Source organism: Homo sapiens, chromosome 5, assembly GCF_000001405.40.
Source record: "Homo sapiens chromosome 5, GRCh38.p14 Primary Assembly".
NCBI lineage: Eukaryota > Metazoa > Chordata > Mammalia > Primates > Hominidae > Homo > Homo sapiens.
In genome coordinates, this window is record NC_000005.10 from 109,326,370 (window position 1) to 109,347,985 (window position 21,616).

Sequence of the window (21,616 nt, forward strand, 5' to 3'; positions counted from 1 at the left end):
ATATTACAAAATTCATGAGCCCATGTGTGATACTGTGATTTGTCAATGAAGATTTAGATCAAATAATGAATGAAGAAGTCCTTCCATGTGGAAGGAAACATCAGGAATGGGGAAAACGTGTTCCTACCCAACACTGACTATGTGCCAGATCCTAAGTACTTTACATATGTGAACTCACTCATAATAACCCTAGATAGAAAACCATCTGTTCATGTTTTATAGATGAGGCAACAGGTACATGGAGGTTGAGTAAGCTGCTCAAGACTTCACAGCTAGAACGTGGTAGGACTAGGATTTAAGCTCAGTCAGCCTGGCTGATGAAGGAAAGAAGGAATGAAGGAGAGACAGGAGAGAGGGAAGAAGGGAAAAAGAAAAGTGAGAAAAGGCAAGTGCCTGTCACCTCTAGAGCAACTGGCAGGATTGTTTAGTTCCTTCCAACTTGGAGTCTGTAAATAAATATTGCCTCAGCTTCCCTCTTTTTAAACTCAAGAAAGTTTGCCCAGAACAACCTAAATTTGTATTCCCATTTGATAGGAAAAAATATTCGTTTTAGGTGCAATCAAGCTTATCTTCACTTTTGTAGAGATCATCTCTGACATTAACAAGTTGCCAGAGAACGCTGTTACTCAATTTATAAGACAAAATGTTCCCTTCATTGTCTTTATTTTTTTACCCAGCAGATTTCCTACTTTAAGACCAGGAGGCAATTACCGGCTCCTAGTGATCATCAATCAGTGTTGTCATCCTTAAAGAGCTCAAAATTTCATCCTGTACTTCTATTTTCATAAAGTGCTGGCTGCAGAGCAAGCTCTCAGAAATGTCCCTGCTTCCCCACGCCAAGTTTTAGGTCTTAAAACTGACCCAAAACCGAAGCAGAGAAACAGAAACTCACAAACAGAAGGCTTGCTCTGCTTATTTAAGTCATTATTTTCCCACTTTGCTGGTGGAAGAGTATCTGGGACAAAGCAGGTTGTAGGCAAATGCTACCTATTCAATGAAGGCCATTTTTTCTGACCTCACCGTAGCTGCTGCCTTGACTCACCAGAGAATTACAGTGAGTACAGGTGAAAGGAAAGCAGGAACAGTATTTGGCATAGTAGAGAAAACTGTTAGTAGTCAGAAGAACTAAATTCAAGTCCTAGCTCCAACACTGGTTGGCTGTGTATGATCTTGGGCAAGCCACTGTTTCTTCCTTAAGGGAGCTAATATAGTGGTTATTTAGATCATTAATTTTTTATTGATTCTCAGCACAAAGCAGTCAATGAACAGACAAGCATCTTTCACCAAGTTGCTTTGGCAACATTCTCTCAGGCTCCTGTTAGGCGCCTGTTCCTAGAGATGATGAGGCTATGGGTATTCATTAACCAAAGGGATTAACCATCTGGGATAGAGACCAATTAGGACAGAACAAGATCATGTAGAGTGGATTTAGTGTGAGACACAACAGGGACCCGATGTTTATCCCTGGTCAATCACAACTTGCTTTCTACCCAGCCCTTACCAGGCTTTAGAAATACAACAGGCTTCCTTTGACCACATCATTGTTCTTACCTATTTACAGGTGCGGACAGTGGTCACTGACACTGTGGACACCATAGGGGCTGGCAAGAAAAAAAATGATGGAGGCAGAATTCTGTCTGCAGTGGATATAAAAGTAACATAAATTGCATCTGCTGAGATCAGGTTTTTTTTCCAGGTAAGAGAGTAAATCAATTTCATGTTCAGGCTCCTCTCCTTAACCTCTTCAGGATTATTCTCTGTGATTGTTAATACAGATAATTACCAACTTCTAAGTTTTTTGATCCAAATGTTTAGTGTTTTCATCTCCGATGAAATAATGTTTAAAGGGTTATTGAGTTCACAAGGTTAGTCTGCAAGAATTATTAGTCATGTCACTAAAATTTATTTTGTTTGTACTTACCTTGAGTATTAACTCACTCACCTATGCAGTAAGCAATATAACAAAGCAGTTAAGGGCATTGGGTTGGAATCCTGACTCCCTTACTTACTCGCTATGTGAGCCTTGGCAGCTACTTAATCTTTTGATGTCTTTGGGGAATTATAATAGTGTTTACTTCTAAGTTTTATTAGGATTATATAAGGATTAACTAAGATGTTGCATGTAAAATGACCCAAAAATATTCCCAGCACATAGTATGCACTCAATAAACATTAACTAGTTTACTGTCACTGTGCTGCAACATTATTTTGTATCTCTTCCGTTCTTTATAACCAAAGAGCTTACTTAACTAAAACAGAGGCTCACTCAAATTCTCTCCAGTACTGGCTTGTATGTGTTGTTATAAGGATATCCATGTTTGATGTGGGTGGCAGATTGGGATAGGAAGTAAAAAGATGCCTGAGGAAAGGAAGGAGCTATGACTACTTCATTCTGGTGTTCCACTGGTCATGAGGCTCAGCTTCCTTCTCTCCCACTGCAGTTGGCTTCCTCTTCAATCCACTCTTAAGTATTTTCTCCCATTCAGTTTTTAACTGTTCTTAGTTTCTGCTTCCTCATCACTTAAGCATGTCATGACTCCTTACGACTTTAATATCCCTCCTCTTGCAACCCTTTTGCTTCACCTCCCCATTTCCTGTTAAGAATTCCCTATTTCCCAACATAAATTAGTGAGAGAAGCTGACAGACCTGCCTTATCTCCAGCACCGGGTCGCTGGTCAACCTCTGAATGCAGGAGCCTTGAGTCAGGTGCCCAACAGTCCAATCACCTGTGGCTGGGAGGAGTGGGGTTTTGAGGCCTATGTTGTCCCATCCCTTTAGCAGGGGCTATGGTGTTGAGAGACAATTCTTCCTCGATTTCTCGTATTTCTGCACATCTTCTGAGCAAGAAGCATGAACAGCTTTGTTCTGTCCTGCCTTTTCAAAGATGTTTGTATAGCAAATAGTCTTAGGAGACAGATATATTGTCCCCTACTCTCCTCCCAGGTCAGAGGACAGATTTGTTTCCTGGGCAAAATGAGGATAATGTCTTGTCCTGGGGCAGATTTCTAGCAGTTCCCTAAGATTGGGGTTTCCTAAGCTCAAATTTCCTCAGCTGTGACACTAAACTCACACTGTGTGTGTGCAGCACTCCTGAGGGACATTGGGGGGAAGGCAAACTGATGTAATTATGAAACTCATGCTGTCCACTGTGCTATGAGAAATGAAGTCCTTTGTCTCTGATCCAGGGGTCTTGTATATACTCCTGGGACCTAGGAAATTTGTTAGCTTGCAAGCAGGGAAAAACCCTGAATCCGTTGCAGTCCTTGACAATGAGAAGGGATATTCTCCTTCAGGTAGAATGGTCCTTGCAGGCACTGTGGTAAATTCATCCAATGCAGCATTCTGTTCTGCTTCCCCTTCTACTGAGTTTCACCTACATATAAATTAAGCTTTAGGCAGTTCTTCAGGGCCTTAGTTTTGGGAGAAAATGCATTATACAGTAATGGGGGTTGGGGAAAGAAGAACCCAAAGGATTGTGCAACATTTCTGTCCTCCCTGAGTGAACCTCGGTTATGCTCAGATTTGGCACCTCTGCTATATCATAGTGCTGCTGCTAAGTTGAGAGGGGGGACTGTCTTAACATGGCTGTGCATCTGCATAGCATTTATTTCCCTTAATGTCCAGTGCACTTTAACTTGGCCCATTCAGCTTCTGTGAGTCATAATACAGCAAGTCTGCCAATTTTACAATGATGCTTACTCCTTATTAAGCCCTTAGTAAGACAGTTTGCAGGGTTCATTGTGTTAGTGCTGGTACGCCAGCATAGTTACAAAAAAAATTATACAATATTTTGTATCAGAGCCTACATGACCAGCAGAAAAGCCGTGCTTCAGAATTGCCTGCTTTATGTTCTATTTTCTGGATAAAACCACACTGGATGCATATGTGTGAATGCTGTAGCACAGGGAGAAAACAAGCAAAAATAAAGCACAGGATATAAGGTCAAACACTGGAGTTTTGGTTATTCTATTCAACTCACCCCCATCTCCAGAAAATAAACTCTTGGCTGGCGCTGGTGGCTCATGCCTGTAATCCCAGCACTTTGGGAGGCTTGAGGCAGGTGGATCACCTGAGGTCAGGGGTTTGAGACCAGCCTGACCAACATGGTGAAACCCCATCTCTACTAAAAATACAAAAATTAGGGGGGGCATGGTGGCACATGTCTGTAATCCCATCTACTCAGGAGGCTGAGGCAGGAGAATCGCTTGATCCGGGGAGGCAGAGGTTGCAGTGAGTCGAGATCGCACCATGGCACTCCAGCCTGGGTGAGACTGCATCTCAAAAAAAAAAAAAAGAAAAATTCTTTTCAAATTTCCCTGGTTGTAAGTCATCATGGCCTGCTGTGGTCCATAGGGCATACGACCTCTTAGGAGATGGGTTCAACCCTTCAACCTATAACTATCTCAATATAGCTATAGATCCTTTGGGCTTGAGAGTAGGTGCTGGTAGCTAAAGTCACCTTAGGGGGCTCATTCTTTCCTTGCTTTTGTTTCTAGCTTTGGTAATCACAGAAGAGACACTAAGGCTCTGTGTGTCAGGCATTCCCCAAGCTAAGATGAAATCCTCTCTACTGAGTGAATCCAGCTGTGCTGGGGGTGGGCACGCTAACAGTCTCTTCATTACAATGGACACTTCAGGAGGCCAGGGATCTTGTCTATTTTGTTCACAGGTTTGTGAGAGTAGGCACTTTGTAAACATTAAATGGACAGCAGCTCAGGTTATACAAATATTTAATTTGTTGGGTTTAATGAAGGTGTTTTTCAGTGGATTGAGAAAGTATTCCCATTTTATATGTCCTAATATACTATTTTCATAAGCTCCCTAATTTGAAAATTTTTAAACATTTTCTTTCAGGTAGTATTTACTCATTTAGATGTGGGTTGTAACCAAGGTGCTCACTTGTGAATAGCTTCGTCATCCAATTGAGGCTGAGCTTGCTTCCCAGACAAGGCTGATCTTGTAAGCTCCTCATCCCTATCTTCATCCGCTTTAAAGGTCAATTTAAACGGAAATAAAAAGTCTAACACTCTAGAATGGCACCAAACCTAGAATACTGCAATACCAGGGTTGGGGGATCCTTGGTCCAGGTAAGGAGGAAGAATTATTTGTTGGGGCCAAAAGCTAGTCGGTATGATGGCATGTAGAGAAGCCCCTTTTAACAGCTGTCTGTAACAGTTGGGTTCTCTTCACAAGTCATTGGGACTAGACTAACAGAACTAGGGCACAATGTAAACGGCTGGATTTTTTAAAGAATTCTTTAAAAAAGAATTTAAAATGGCATTTATTAAGGATTGAAATCAAAAGGAAAGCCCCTGTCAAGTGTCTCTTCCTACGAATAAAACAACTTGGGAGTAGGTTCTGTACTCTTTGGAGTATTTGCAGTTGTGGAGGGCAGATGTCCATGGCTTCTAGAGGAACTGAAATCCAGACCTTTGGAAAGGGTAGCACAAATTGCTTGTAGAAAGATGTCTGGATAGTTAGCTCTTGATGGCTAAGAGACAACAGGATGCTATACACCTTTCAGGCCTGGGACAGTCTCTGCAGAACAGTTTAAGAATCCCAGATTACCAGGCAAAGGTAGGAAGTTCTCATTAGATCTTACTGGTGACTAAGAAACTTCACTAATCAGGGCCACATTAGAATCTTGGTCATCAGTACACAAATATCTTAACATGTTAGCAAAATAATATAGCAAGGAAAAAATATTTCTCAAAATTCTGAACAGATCCTAATTTTTTCTGATAAAACAAAACAAAAAAAACAAAACAGACTGCATCTCAAGCAATGTACTTAAATAATAACACTGATAACACTGATCAGGTAAGCTGTTCCTACTCAGGAAGGCAGCATGAAGTGGACAGAACCGACAGCATCTCCTTTAAGAACCAGGGCTCTTTGACCATGTCTGGGGCTCATTTTTTTTTTTTAATTTGTAAAGTTGAGACAATAAATCAACCCTGCAGACTTATTATGAAGATGAGATAAGATAGAAAGCCTACACTATGCCTAATATTTAGTGTTTCATAAATAGAAACTATTATTATAATGTAAAAATGCATTTAAAAATGAATCTTCGTAAGAAGAAACATTGTTATAATCTAAGGAAATTACTGACAGTAAGAAGTATCTTTCTAAAAAAATAAAGACCTCCTCCCTGTCAATGTTCACTATAAAAACTGTATATTGATTATATACTAATAATATAAGATGCAATAAATTACCAACTATATTAGTGTTAGGTTTCATAATTAATATTATGAAAATTACACTTTATTTTGACTTAATAAGGTTCCCGTCAAATTCTCAACTCTTGAAAGGTAATTAATATGTTTTTAAGAGTGTTTTATCTGAAATGTTCATCATTCTCCAAAAAGTGGTGCTATAAACAATGATGGAAACCAAGTATAACATATTTCCCTATGACTTTGCACATCAATGAAAAACATTTTTTTCAAACCCTTATTCATGCACAAATAGTGGTAGTACTGAACCTATAATTTAGATTCATTACTTTATAGAGAAAACAGAAGCAGGGTGATTACGTGACTTTGTCAAGGTCATGTTATTTCAAACACCACAATTTTGAGATGGGAAAAGGCGGACTCCAAAAATTATTAAAATGAGCTTGACATTGATCACTTAACAAATTCTAAGGCAGATTATTAAACAGATGTCACGTAAGGAGTTAGAAAAAGAGGCAGTATGGTTTCATTAAGAATGAGGCGTTACCAGCTGACTTCATTTCCTTTCTTTAATATACTAGTACATTAGGCTACTTCCAAAGACAGTGCATAGTGCATCTGTCTGCCAAACACACTAAAATTTTTAGTGTCCTTTTTAGGAAAGATGAAGAAACGGGCATATGAAGTGACTGGTAGTTACCGCAACAACTGTAACCAAATTACTAATTAACGGATCACTCACCTTAAGTGCAGTGTATAGTGGCATTCTAAAGAGGGTCTGTACTGCATCCCATTCAATTCAACATGTATCAACAACTTAGACAAAGCCACTACATACCAAAGGTATGCTTTATCAAAATTGGAATGGATGCAAGGCTAAGACGAAAAACCTGAATTCACAAGAACCTTCACAAATCAAATTCAGTAAGGATGAATGCTGTCCTTCAATTAGGTTAATAAGAGATTGTTTAAGTAAAGATTAGGCGGGGACTTGGCTTACCAGCAATACCTGTGAAGCTCAGCAAGAGACAGCAAACAGTATGACAGCCTGGCTAATAATGATGGTGGTAATAATAACATATACCAACCATAACAGCCACAGGAGAATCACTCTGAAGGTGGCAACAGTGCTCCTGAACCCTGCCCTAGTTCGACCACAGAACTGTGTTTAATTCTGAGCAACATACTTTAAGAGAAGGAGTGAAAGAGCCAACTCTAGGCTGGTCTGGAATAGATACCATGTAAGATTTCAGAAAGCGTGAAGCCTGAAGAAGGATATGAAGAGGTGACCACACAGGAGAAACAGGACTTTCTAATTTCACGTGTGCTGTTTATAGAGAAATTTGGTGACAATCTTCCAACAATGAAATTCATCCCTTGCAGGGGTGCTGAATGGCTCCATCCAGCAGTGGCTGAATGAAAATGATGATGAAATTATAAAAACATCAACAGTAGAGGTATACCACTGATGTTTCCAGCTCTGAGACTATTTTTCTAGTACATATTTAATCTATTAGAGGAGAATCAGAATTCTAAACTTTCTAAGCATCTAAACAAAATGATTAGTTTTTATCCAACTTTGTAAATTTTTTTGAGATAGGGTCTCACTATGTTGCCCAGGTTGCTCTTCAACTCCTGGTCTCAACCAATCCTCCTGCCTCAAGCCTCCTGAATAGCTGGGATTATAGGTGCACACCACCATGCCTGGCTAGTCTTTGTCTAATTGAATTGCGTAATTTATCAGCACCCAATTGACCCTTCTGAAATGACTGAGTTCTCTGAACTGTTTGAGAACCACAAGGAATCTTGCTAAACAGTTAGATTTAATAATATTTCCATGCCTGATTTGGAGAAAACCACTGATGTGAGGTGGGCTCCCTTCCTTATTAAGGGTTTCTGCAGTCCGGAGTCAGTGTGGAAATCAGGTTCTGCTGAAACCTACGGGATAGCTAAGGATGTCAGGGAGGAGAGGGCAAGGACTCAGAGACCCTCCAGCAGTAGGAAGTCCATCAACTACTTCTGTCTGGCTCTTTCTAGGGCTTTCTTAGATTATAGTTCAAGGACTTCTAACATCACATGCTCAGTAGTGTTATCTGTCATTAACTCTAAATCCTTCAGGGGTTACATTATAGAAGTGATACAATTACACAATTAAATATTAGAAATGACCACCGAGTATATTCTGTTTATTGTTTATGATTTACACAGAAAATGATGGGCTGGGGTTATAGAACAATAAACCAACCATTACATTTAGACCTGGGCTTTTGAAAAACTTGCATTCCATTTTAACAATTCGTATGTATCTAACAAATACATAAATCCAGATCACAAATAATCTTAAGAGTTAAACAATTAAGAAACACAAAGAATACCACATAGATCTACCTTTAAATATCAGCATTCATATTATAAGAAATAAGAAAATGTTAAAAAAATAAAATTAGGTTAAGTCACAACATAAAATAGAGAAATAAGATAAATGCTATTTTATTAATATTCATACTTATTTCTAATTTACCTTCATATAGTCTTAACTTTTTCAAAAGGATCCAAGATATGATCAAATAATATTTTAGTATCTGAACTTGCCAGCCTTAGCTTATACCAGAGCTTGTTACCATGAAAATCCTAAAACCTCAATTTTCTTTTTCTTTTTTAAAATTTAAGCCAACTCTTATTCAACTTTTCTTCTTCACAGCAGCTGTTTATAGATAGTAGGGAGCCAAGAATGAAGGACAGTAACAGATGGAAAGCAAAAAGTACAACAGCTATCTTAAGTTCAGCTCTCAACATTGCTGGTTGAGTTTGGAACCAAAACCTCTTAACAACTGGCAGATAATAGCTAAATCTTAACAGACAAAGAAGAAATATTTTCTTTGGGACAGCTGCTATCTAGAAGAAAACCAAGGTCCCTTAATATAGTCTAAATATAATGTGTGGCTTATTATAGAGAAATCTTTAGCAACGTAAGTTTAACCAGTAAGTGTCACAACTGATCAACAGTACTTAAAAGGAAACAAACAAAAATCACACTAGCCACAAATTTCCACCATATACACATGAAATTAATTTTAATCTGTTTTGACTCCTTGACACTAACTGATCATTAATGAAATATGATATGGAAAGATCACAGAGTAGAAAACAAGCAAAGATTAGTTTATACAACAGTGACTATATACATCAGAGGGAAAACATGCTAGCTAATGCAACATTAAGGCCTGAATGTAAGCATTTCCCAAGTCACAGAAGCCCCAAAGAACTCCTAAATTACAAATTCATCACATTACATGCATGCAATGTTCACTTTTGTTTTACCCATAAAAGGATACACAGTATTTTGCTGTAAATACCAGACACATTTACAATATATGCAAAAATTAGAATGCAAGTGTTATGTTCCTTATATTTAAGCCTCATATGTGCCAACAGTGAAAATTCATTTATTTTTAAGAATGAAAAAAGGAGACGGGATATAAATACTCAGAGAAATACACGAATAAGATGTAACTCTGCATTTGGGAAGCCATATAAATATTCCTTTTATGTGCCCAAACTAAATTATCAATGTACCAGTTAGACGGACATACACTCACTATGTGCTTTACTATTTTACTTGCTCAAATGTTCTACAGTCATCATTCTCTAGTGTTAACATCAAATCACATTTGTAAGTGAACTATTATGTCCATGTTTGCACATACTCGTCCACTGTGTGTGATCACCTGAAGGAGACATTGTGCATCTTAGTTTGGGGTTATATAATTACAAAGATGACCCTGTGCAAGTTTTCAGACCTTCCAAAATACTGTAGAAGCAAAATTACCTTAAACTAACTATAAGCAATATTAAACAAATGTGCCATGAGTGTTCTGGGCCTTCAAGTATAATTTTAACCAAGGAGAAACAGGTTGGGTAAGAGGTTAGAAAGAGTTTCATAAGGCCATCTAATTCAGCTCATTGTACCAAGCCCTGAGCACACTAGATTCTTTGTATGCTTTACTAACCTTACGTTAAGCACATCCACTGGTTTCATTAAGGATTTTACTACCTAACTTTATTTCAGGGGGAGTTACGTCTACGATTTAAAACTTTTGTAATGTTCTGGCCAAAATTTTAGCCTTCATTTGGCATTCTGAAAAGTTCTAATTTTAAACAAAAATGGACTTTCTGAAAAATTTCTCAGCATATGAACCAAGAGGTTATGATATAGCAAAATCAAAGGGACTAGTGAAAAAGCATACTTTAGAATTTGTTTCATTTCCAATGAAACCAAATTTTACTACGGTTGTGAACACAGTCTTTACATTTGATGCAAACAGGACAGCTTAATTATAATCACTTAGTGGCAGTATTACAGACAAAGCCAATAACGTATGCCACACAGATGATTATTTATTCTGGAGAGAGTCAACTGATAAGCTTGGCTTTACAATTAATACAAACATATTCAACTAAAGAAAATGGATGCACTGTCTCAACATTCAGCTTAAAAATGTTTAATACTTTCTGCAAACCTAAATTTAGTTTAGAAAGGTTAATATTCTTTCTAAACTATGGCATATACTATATATAGCATTTTTAAATATATTTATATATAATTATTTGCACATGAAATTTAGAAGGAATTTGCAGATTTACTTTGATACACTGATCTCATTTCAACTGTCAAGGTTTAGGGTGCTTCTGCAATACTGTCATTTGAAGGTGGGGCATCAGGATCAGGCTCAGAGGAAGGAGCTGCAGATGCTTCAATAACCGCAGGTGGGAAATGACGGCGGCACACAGGGCATGTTCCCGACTGGAGAAAAAAAAAATGTTAAGAGCCACCAGAATCATCTTAACTGCCACACAAGTAACTTAATAAAGAAAAAACAGTGTCATTATCCTAATAATAAGACTCTTAACAACAAAAAACAAACTTCAAATCCACACAATGCAGAAAGACATAATTTTAATACCTTTTCCTCCCTGCCCAATCAGACTCTAGTTTCTTTGAGGGTAAATGATGTCTCTTATTCATGTTCGTATCTTTAAGGTCATTCATCCTCCTTAATTTAGTGAGTTTTAATTAAGAGCTGCTAAACTCAGCAGTGATGCAATGGCAGAGGGTGAGCAAAGAATCATGGCACATGTCCACATGGAGGTCAGAGTTTAGCTCAACAATAATCTGAATTATCATTATTTAGTCTATTATGCGTTTACTAGAGAAACCACAGACCTACTTTAATTCACACCAAATCATTTATGATTTGGTGTGAATTAAAGAAGGTCTACGATGAATTAACGTAGGTCGATGGCAAATTAAAGCCTCATTTTAGGGTAGCACAGATATGTCAAAGCAGATGGACTTCAGACTTTCTTTCTAAGCCATGACATTTCTTTCCAAAAAGAGATAAGAGTGTTAGGTGCCTTCTAAATGACAAAACAATCAACCACAGACCTTGGAGAGAAGGTGGGAAGGAGAAAGCAGTTATACTAGGAGCACAACATTCTAGGACCAATGGACGATTATAGAGCTACGTTATCTGATAACAGATTATCCCCTTGCAAATCTGGTCTTTTTCCCAAAGAGAACTCCCTGCTGGAAGGGAGGCTGAAGAGATCATGCTGTCGAAGGCAACAAAGAACTGTATCTTGGGAACATTCTCCCCAGAAAAAAAGCAGGAAAGGCTTCACACTAAGGTATTTCCTGACAGGAGAAAGACTGAAGAGACTGTTACTTTGTGTTACAGCAAAGTCTCAAGTACAATTCAAGGCTGTACAACATATATTACGTTTACCGTTTAAGAATCCATTTCAGGCCAGGCACGGTGGCTCATGCCTGTAATCCCAGCACTTTGGGAGTCCGAGGTGGACAGATTGCCTGAGCTCAGGAGTTCGCAACCAGCCTGGGCAACATGGTGAAACCCCGTCTGTACTAAAATACAAAAAATTAGCTGAGCGTTGCAGCATGCGCCTTTAGTCCCAGCTACTCGGGAGGCTGAGGCAGAATTGCTTGAACCCGGGAGGCGGAGGTTGCAGTGAGCTGAGACAGCACCATTGCACTCCAGCCTGGGCAACAGAGTGAAACTCCGTCTCAAAAAAAAAAAAAAAAAAAAAAAAATTTCATTTCAGCAAACATTTATTGTGTACTTGCCATACAGATTGGGCCCCAACAATAACATTTTAGAGTCAAATAGATGAGTGTGGTCTTGATGAACTACATACTAGCTATTTAAACTTAGACAAGTAACAATCATTAGAAAACGGGAATAAAGATAACAATAAGTCCTAAAGTACTGTGAGGATTAAAGGAGAAATCATGAATCATTAAAGAGGAATCATCTAACAGTGACTGACACACAGCAGGCACACAAAACACTGCTTCTTAAGTCTCTGAAGCTATCATGGGAATTTAAAGACGGCATTTATTAAGGACAGAAAAGGTGGAATTTAAACTGCACCTACCTATATCATCTAATCTTACAGATGGTATAGGGAAAAATCATGCCAGACTTCAGGAGCAAATGCATAGAAACATGAGCAAGTGTACAGAAAAGTAAATCTGAAGAAACAAGTTGGGGGTCTAAATCACAGAAGGCCTTGAATGTCAAGATTAAAACTTCAGATTATTCCACAGGTGACTGGAGGTCCCTCTCTTTCTTTTATGAGAAGGGAAGTACATTATCAGAACTACATTTCAGAAAATGCCTTTAATGATGGCATGATAGATAATGAAGATTTGGAAGAGTGAGGGGATAGGAAGAGGCGAAGATGATGAGAAATTAGTTAATGGGTATAATGTATGTTATCCAGGTGATGGGATATCCTAAAAGCCCTGACTTGACCACTACATAACCTATGCATGTAACAAAGTTGCACATGTACCCCACAGATTTATGCAAATAAAAAAGAAATGAAAAGAAAGTACCTCTAAAGGAAGTAAGGAAATAAAGTAGGTCACTACAATAGTAGTTAAGACAACAAGGGTTGAAGGTCTAATGTATGGGAGTAGAAATGAAATGAGGGAATGGACCTCACAGACTCAGCCATGCTCGAAAATTTTAAGAGTTGGTGGCTCTGCATTTTCTGCTTCCCCAATAATTTTAATAACACCTACTTCCACTACTACCACCATCATGTACAGACACTGAAAAAGTCATTTTCTACTGAATTCTAACTTTCATTAGTAATAAGTTTACCATTACTTTTCCTATATGTTTACTATGTGCCAAACACTATATTAAATTCATCATGGATTACCTACTTCAACTCTTATAAAAACACTAGAGGTTGGTATATTGTACAGCACAGCCATCTAGGCTGTATTAACAAAATGCCAGATAAACAGATTAAGAAAAATCACCTAAAATATTATTTCCCAAATTTTGTTCTGGGAGAAGGGAGAGAGCAAGGAAAGCAGTATTTTAAAACTAATTCAGAATCCAGCATTATACCTCAATCCAGAATACCAGGAAGTCTCATGAGACTTGAGACACACATTATCTCTATGCAGACAATACTCCTCAAATAATACACATTAGCACGTGCTGTTTACTGAAGACTGCTAGCTGGTCTTTGTAACTTGCACCATAAGTTTTTATTTGTGATTTTGTTGTTAATAAAATAAAAACACCTCTAATTTCTAATAATAGCTTTCATCTGATATGATTTGTAAAATATTTACTGGGCACTTACTACCTGACAGGCACTATGGGTTATCTCATACAGAGATATTTTATAAAAGAACAGTGAACATTTCTAAACTGGATTTCAGAGATTTTAAGTGGAATTTTGAGAAGAACAAAGTGGCAAATAGAAATAGAGGAACAGCAAAGAAAGGAAAAGGAAAGACGGAAGGAAGGAAAGGAATGGGAAAAGGGAAGGAGAAAAAAAGCACTGGTTTATAGGGAAGAAAGGGAGTTGTATTCCTAAGTAGATAATTTGGGAAAGTGACTTGGGAATTCCTAGTGAACTGGATGGTAAATATCCTTTATGCAAAAACAGAGTTCACAGAGAAGACTGAAATAAAACACTTCCTTTATTTAAATAATTCAAATATGCTTAAGATTTATTGGGTCCCTCCCCCTCCCCCTCCCCCTCCCCCTCCCCCTCCCCCTCCCCCTCCCCCTCCCTCTCCCCACGGTCTCCCTCTCATGCGGAGCCGCAGCTGGACTGTACTGCTGCCATCTCGGCTCACTGCAACCTCCCTGCCTGATTCTCCTGCCTCAGCCTGCCCAGTGCCTGCGATTGCAGGCTCGCGCCGCCACACCTGACTGGTTTTGGTGGAGATGGGGTTTCGCTGTGTTGGCCGGGCCGGTCTCCAGCCCCTAACCGCGAGTGATCCGCCAACCTCGACCTCCCGAGGTGCCGGGATTGCAGACGGAGTCTCGTTCACTCAGTGCTCAATGGTGCCCAGGCTGGAGTGCAGTGGCGTGATCTCGGCTCACTACAACCTACACCTCCCAGCCGCCTGCCTTGGCCTCCCAAAGTGCCAAGATTGCAGCCTCTGCCCGGCTGCCACCCCGTCTGGGAAGTGAGGAGCGTCTCTGCCTGGCCACCCATCGTCTGGGATGTGAGGAGCCCCTCTGCCTGGCTGCCCAGTCTGGAAAGTGAGGAGCGTCTCCGCCCGGCCGCCATCCCATCTAGGAAGTGAGGAGCGCCTCTTCCCAGCCGCCATCACATCTAGGAAGTGAGGAGCATCTCTGCCCGGCCGCCCATCCTCTGAGATGTGGGGAGCGCCTCTGCCCCGCCGCCCCATCTGGGATGTGAGGAGCGCCTCTGCCCGGCCGAGACCCCGTCTGGGAGGTGAGGAGCATCTCTGCCCGGCCGCCCCGTCTGAGAAGTGAGGAGACCCTCTGCCGGGCAACCACCCCGTCTGAGAAGTGAGGAGCCCCTCCGCCCGGCAGCTGCCCCGTCTGAGAAGTGAGGAGCCTCTCCGCCCGGCAGCCACCCCATCTGGGAAGTGAGGAGCGTCTCCGCCCGGCAGCCACCCCGTCCGGGAGGGAGGTGGGGGGGGGTCAGCCCCCCGCCCGGCCAGCCGCCCCGTCCGGGAGGGAGGTGGGGGGGTCAGCCCCCCGCCTGGCCAGCCGCCCCGTCCGGGAGGGAGGTGGGGGGGTGAGCCCTCCGCCCGGCCAGCCGCCCCGTCTGGGAGGTGAGGGGCGCCTCTGCCTGGCCGCCCCTACTGGGAAGTGAGGAGCCCCTCTGCCCGGCCAGCCGCCCCGTCCGGGAGGGAGGTGGGGGGGTCGGCCCCCCGCCCGGCCAGCCGCCCCGTCCGGGAGGGAGGTGGGGGGGTCAGCCCCCCGCCTGGCCAGCCGCCCCGTCCGGGAGGGAGGTGGGGGGGTGAGCCCTCCGCCCGGCCAGCCGCCCCGTCTGGGAGGTGAGGGGCGCCTCTGCCCGGCCGCCCCTACTGGGAAGTGAGGAGCCCCTCTGCCCGGCCAGCCGCCCCGTCCGGGAGGGAGGTGGGGGGGTCGGCCCCCCGCCGGGCCAGCCGCCCCGTCCGGGAGGGAGGTGGGGGGGTCAGCCCTCCGCCCGGCCAGCCGCCCCGTCCGGGAGGGAGGTGGGGATGTCGGCCCCCCGCCCGGCCAGCCGCCCCGTCCGGGAGGGAGGTGGGGGGGTCAGCCCCCCGCCCGGCCAGCCGCCCCGTCCGGGAGGGAGGTGGGGGGGGGTCAGCCCCCCCGCCCGGCCAGCCGCCCTGTCCAGGAGGTGAGGGGCGCCTCTGCCCGGCCGCCCCTACTGGGAAGTGAGGAGCCCCTCTGCCCGGCCAGCCGCCCTGTCCGGGAGGGAGGTGGGGGGATCGGCCCCCCGCCCGGCCAGCCGCCCCGTCCGGGAGGGAGGTGGGGGGGTCGGCCCCCTGCCCGGCCAGCCGCCCGGTCCGGGAGGGAGGTGGGGATGTCGGCCCCCCGCCCGGCCAGCCGCCCCGTCCGGGAGGGAGGTGGGGGGGTCAGCCCCCCGCCCGGCCAGCCACCCCGTCCGGGAGGGAGGTGGGGGGGGTCAGCTCCCCCACCCGGCCAGCCGCCCCGTCCGGGAGGTGAGGGGCGCCTCTGCCCGGCCGCCCCTACTGGGAAGTGAGGAGCCCCTCTGCCCGGCCAGCCGCCCCGTCCGGGAGGGAGGTGGGGGTGTCAGCCCCCCGCCTGGCCAGCCGCCCCGTCCGGGAGGGAGGTGGGGGGAGTCAGCCCCCCCGCCCGGCCAGCCGCCCCGTCCGGGAGGTGAGGGGCGCCTCTGCCCGGCCGCCCCTACTGGGAAGTGAGGAGCCCCTCTGCCCGGCCAGCCGCCCCGTCCGGGAGGGAGGTTGGGGGGTCAGCCCCCCGCCCGGCCAGCCGCCCCGTCCGGGAGGGAGGTGGGGGGGGGGTCAGCCCCCCTGCCCGGCCAGCCGCCCCGTCCGGGAGGTGAGGGGCGCCTCTGCCCGGCCACCCCTACTGGGAGGTGAGGAGCCCCTCTGCCCGGCCACCACCCCGTCTGGGAGGTGTGCCCAACAGCTCATTGAGAACGGGCCAGGATGACAATGGCGGCTTTGTGGAATAGAAAGGCGGGAAAGGTGGGGAAAAGATTGAGAAATCGGATGGTTGCCGTGTCTGTGTAGAAAGAAGTAGACATGGGAGACTTTTCATTTTGTTCTGCACTAAGAAAAATTCCTCTCTCTTGGGATCCTGTTGATCTGTGACCTTACCCCCAACCCTGTGCTCTCTGAAACATGTGCTGTGTCCACTCAGGATTAAATGGATTAAGGGCGGTGCAAAAAAAAAAAAAAAAAAAGAAAGAAAGAAAGAAAGAAAAAAAGAAAATATGTAAATAAAGAGAGATAATGTACCATAAAAAAAAAAAAAAAAAAAAAAAAGATTTATTGGGTAAATATTTGAAGACAATATATAAAAACTGGAATAGGAGCTACTTGGTAGGTTATTAAGTATCTCTCATATACATTTCAGAAACACCAACCTGTATTAGCAGAATAGCTGTATATTGTTATAGTACTTTGAGTAGTGCCAAAGGCTTCTCTGCTTTAGATACTTTTGAAAACACCAAATTTCAGGGTTATGATTAAAATTCTAATCAGCTTTATTCTAAAATGAGTTTTCAGATATTTAATCACTTCCTAAAATGATTAAAAACATGTTGTTATTATTGTCTATATTTTTAGACAATGTTAGTAAAATAAAATATTTCCATATTATCCCTGATCTGTAATCATTAAATGCAATCAGGTTTTTAACAATGAATTAAAAAGTACTACAAATTTGCGGCTAAATAAAACAGGTTTAAAAGATACTACTATTGGCTGGGCGTGGTGGCTCATGCCTGAAATCCCAGCACTTTGGGAGGCTGAGGCAGGCGGATCACCTGAGGTCAGGAGTTCGAGACCAGCCTGACCAACATGGCGAAACTCTGTCTCTACTAAAAATACAAAAAATTAGCTGAGCTTGGTGGTGGGTGCCTGTAATCCCAGCTACTTGGGAGGCTGAGGCAGGAGAATCGCTTGAACCCTGGAGGCAGAGGTTGCAGTGAGCCGAGATCGAACCACTGCACTCCAGCCTAGGTGACAAGAGCGAAACTTTGTCTCACCAAAAAAAAAAAAAAAAAAAAGATACTATTATTCACTTGCAGAAGACACTATTAAAGTATTTTTAAATTTTTAATTATTCTATCACTCACCTTTTGTAGCCAAATTGAGACACAAGGTTTGTGAAAGAAATGGTGACAGGGCAACTCTGTTGCTATATCATCCTTAATATACTCACTGCAACAGATTGGACAGCATTGTTCCTGACCAATAGCTGAAAACAACAAATAATTCAGGTCAATCACACGTAGTTCAATTTTAGTAAAACTGAAAAGCAACATATTATACTCATAGAAGATACCTCTGAAAGACGAAAGAGCCAGTCTTTGACCAGTTAATTGGCAGGCATTTCTGTCTAATACTTGGCAATTTGGAATCTAATAAATACTGCTTTGTAAAAAAGCTGACAGAGGAACATTTGTCTCAGCCTATCGCTTGAAAATTAAAAATATTCTTGTACTAGGTGAAAGTTTGTGAGCATCTGGTTTCTATAAAAAAAATCTAGTGAAAGTTTCTAATAATCAAGTATTTAATTATCTAGGTATATTGATAATATACTTAAATGTACAATGTGTTCTTCAACATTTGAGATCAACTTTGCCCTTACCAGTGTGATCTTCAAGAACAAGGGTCTCTGGAAGACCATCAATGCTTTCCTTACTAGCTGGTGGATTGGCCACCTCAACATCCACTGCAAGAGACTCTAAATGGGCCAGAGCAGTCTGAAAAACAAAAGGTACAGTTCTTTGTTAGAAATACTTTAAAACAGTAACAGAAAACTATTTTTAGGGTATCTCCAAAATTATATCACCATTATTCTCTTTTTGTTAGTTTCTTTTGCTTTAGTCCTTTGCTCCTTTTGCCTCTTCAGAAGGAACTACCACCATCACCAACAAACCAAAACATTAAATATACACGCAGAGCCCAACTTTCTACATGTGAAATAAAAATATACCTTGTCTCGGCCGGGCGCAATGGCTCATGCCTGTAATCCCAGCACTTTGGGAGGCCGAGGCGGGGTGGGTCACTTGAGGTCAGGAGTTCAAGACAGCCTGACCAACATGGTGAAATCCCGTCTCTAGTAAAAAAAAAAAAAAAAAAAAACAAAATTAGCAGGGTGTGGTGGCACATGCCTGTAATCCCAGCTACTTGGGAGGCTGAGGCAGGAGAATTGCTTGAACCCAGGAGGTAGAGGTTGTAATGAGCCGAGATCAAGCCATTGCACTCCAGCCTGAGCAACAAGAACGAAACTCCATCTCAAAAAAAAAAAAAAGCAGGTCGTGGTAGTGTGTGCCTATAATCCCAGCTACTGGGGAGACTGAGGCAGGAGAATCGCTTGATCCTGGGAGGCAGAGGTTGCAGTGAGCTGAGATCACCATGCACTCCAGCCTGGGTGACAGAGCGAGACTCTGTCTCAAAAAAAAAAAAAAAAAAAAACTACCTTGTCTCAATAATCATCTACTTCTCCGTATTTATATTTTGAAGGAGTGGTTACTTTTTCCAACTATTGGTTCCTATGTGAGATCAATAACATGAAAGAAAATAATAAACATTTTGGAAAGGTTCACTTCATGAAAGATAAAATGTGGCTGAGGCTACTAGAAGCTCCAGGTATGGAAGCAAATAATGCACTCCTGAATGGCTACATCTACTACTGGCATGGATTTGGCGCACCCACATTACCAGCTCACAAGTATTACTAGGTTATCTGGGTTGTGAATTTCATTTACAGGTTCAAATATCTGTGTCAAATTACTGTTCTAAGAAGGATGGAAAGAACATCAGATCATGTGATCATCTGGGATGCGTCATCCTCATCCTTTCTGGCTCTAATTAGACTAGAATGGCAGTTGAGACTTTTGTCTTTTTGTCTGCAACCTGTACAATTACTTGCTCTTGGTGCACATGCTGCTTCCCCTGCCTGGTGCTTTCTGTCCATCCTTTAAGTCCTATCACTCCCTCTGGGACTGCATAAGTCCTGTCTCTTCCATGAGGCCTATGTCAGTGGTCCTAGACTGCACGAGTATCCTTCTGAACTGCTACTGTATTCAAAGAATTGGTATTACACCGTTTAATTATTACTTGTTAGTATTATATCCTAATTACAGCATCATAAGATCATGGAGCTATGAAAGACCTTGGCTTCTTTTTAGGGATGAAAAACCTGAAGGAAATTTGACAACTATCAAAACTGGGCCTCCCCTCCTGGTTGGAGTGCAGAATATTACAGCTGCTAGAGAAAACAGCCCAACAATTCCTCAAAATTAAAAACAGAATTATCACATAATCCAGCAATTCTAGTTCTGGGTATACACCCAAAAAGAACTGAAAACAGGGACTAAAACAAGTATCTGTACACCCATGTTCACTGCAGCATTATTCACAAGAGCCAAAAGGTGGAAGCAAATCAACTGTTCATTGGTGGATGGATGAATATGCAAAATGTGATATACACATACAGTGAAATATTACTCCGCCTTGAAAAGGAAGGAAATTCTAACACATGCCACGACATGGATGAACCTTGAAGACATTATGCTAAATGAAATAAGCCAGTCACAGAAAGATAAGTACTGTATGATTCTTACATGAGATACCTAAAGTAGTCAAATTCATTGAGACAGAAAACAGAATGGTGGTTGCCAGGGGCTGGAAAGATGGGAAAATGGGGAGTTACTGTTTACAGCAATGTGAATACACTTGATTACACTGAACTGTACACTTTAAAAAACTGTAGCAATAGTAAATTTTATATTATGTTTATTTTACCATAATAAAAAAAAATGAACAAGCCAGGTTTCCCATATAGAAGAAGAATTCTGCCTGATAGCTTAGCTAACACTCTATTCTTCTGGATGGCAAACATAATATTTATACATGCCTAAGGTCCTACCATAGATATTCCCAAAAAGAATTTGAGATGACTTATAATAGGGATTACAACTTGCCTTGGGCCAAGCCCAAAGCAAAATCAGGACTAAAAAAGGAAAAAGCAAAACGGTTCACAAAGAGTTAATAAACATAGTTAATATTATTGAACACTAAATTTGACTCTGGATATGCAGAGAAACACTGCAAAAAGAAAGAAACACTGTTCCAGTAATTGAATTATTGCTTCTCAGCTCCAAATACACCTTTCATTTCTGCCCTTTGAAAACAGATTTGGGCCTTTTAAATATTTTTCCTTTTGTTAGCTGACATGATTTTAAGTTTTGTCAGCAGAAGGTGCTGGAGAGACACAAGGAAAGGACTTTGCTTCATGGTTCCCTTGGGCTTGCCCCTGCAGTGTGCCAGGCTTCCCTGTGCACAGATGGCTTCTCCAGCATCAGACTCCTCCAGTGTGGGTGGCTTCTCCAGTGCCTGGCTCTTGAAGCACATGCTGCTTATCCAGTAACTGGTAATTACAGGACAAGGTTGCCAGCAGCTTCTCCTTGTACTCATCTTAGGTGGTTCTGCAGCAGAGTACCTAGGGGCTTGGTCACATCACTGTGAAGTTTCTCTTGCCCCAGAGGGCAGATTTTTGCCATGTTCCAGAAGGCAAATTTCCAGCAAGTTCTGCCAGCACAGTACCATAAATACTCCTCCATAAGCCATGGCTGTGTCCTTCCCAATAAGGTCTGGCTCTCAGCCTTAGACAGGAGGGAAGTAGAGTGCTCCATCTCAGCCCTAAAGCTGTTTCTTAAATCTGCTAATCCTATATTCTTTAGAGTTTGCTTTACTTCCTACTAGCCAATCCCTTGGTATTCTAAACTTCTGTTGCAGTTAATATTTACAGTAAATTTTCCCTGTTCAAATTACTGTATTTCTCTCTCTTGGGACTGAACTCAGACTGGTACAGAATTCATATTAAGAGTGGTCCCGGGACACAGAACTGGCAAGAAAAGGATT

General features: G+C 42.5%; 1 protein-coding gene across 1 annotated transcript in view, besides 1 other annotated feature; it reads right to left on the reverse strand.

The window, feature by feature from the left end:
* Window positions 1-8,352: 8,352 nt before the first annotated feature.
* Window positions 8,353-21,616, reverse strand: part of PJA2 (praja ring finger ubiquitin ligase 2) — a 75,253-nt gene continuing 61,989 nt past the window's right edge. Inside the window, exons 8-10 of the mRNA NM_014819.5 lie at window positions 18,336-18,450; window positions 17,821-17,942; window positions 8,353-10,987 (exon numbers count right to left, since the gene is read on the reverse strand). Coding sequence (NP_055634.3) covers window positions 10,862-10,987; window positions 17,821-17,942; window positions 18,336-18,450 — 363 coding nt within the window. The 3' untranslated portion in view covers window positions 8,353-10,861. The remainder of the gene's footprint in view (window positions 10,988-17,820; window positions 17,943-18,335; window positions 18,451-21,616) is intronic.
* Window positions 11,679-11,973: a silencer, noted in NCBI's record as "tiled region #6746; K562 Repressive non-DNase unmatched - State 15:Elon". NCBI's record gives its function as "represses a minimal TATA promoter and a strong SV40 promoter by Sharpr-MPRA in K562 cells {active_cell/tissue: K562}" and the evidence as "EXISTENCE:reporter gene assay evidence [ECO:0000049][PMID:27701403]".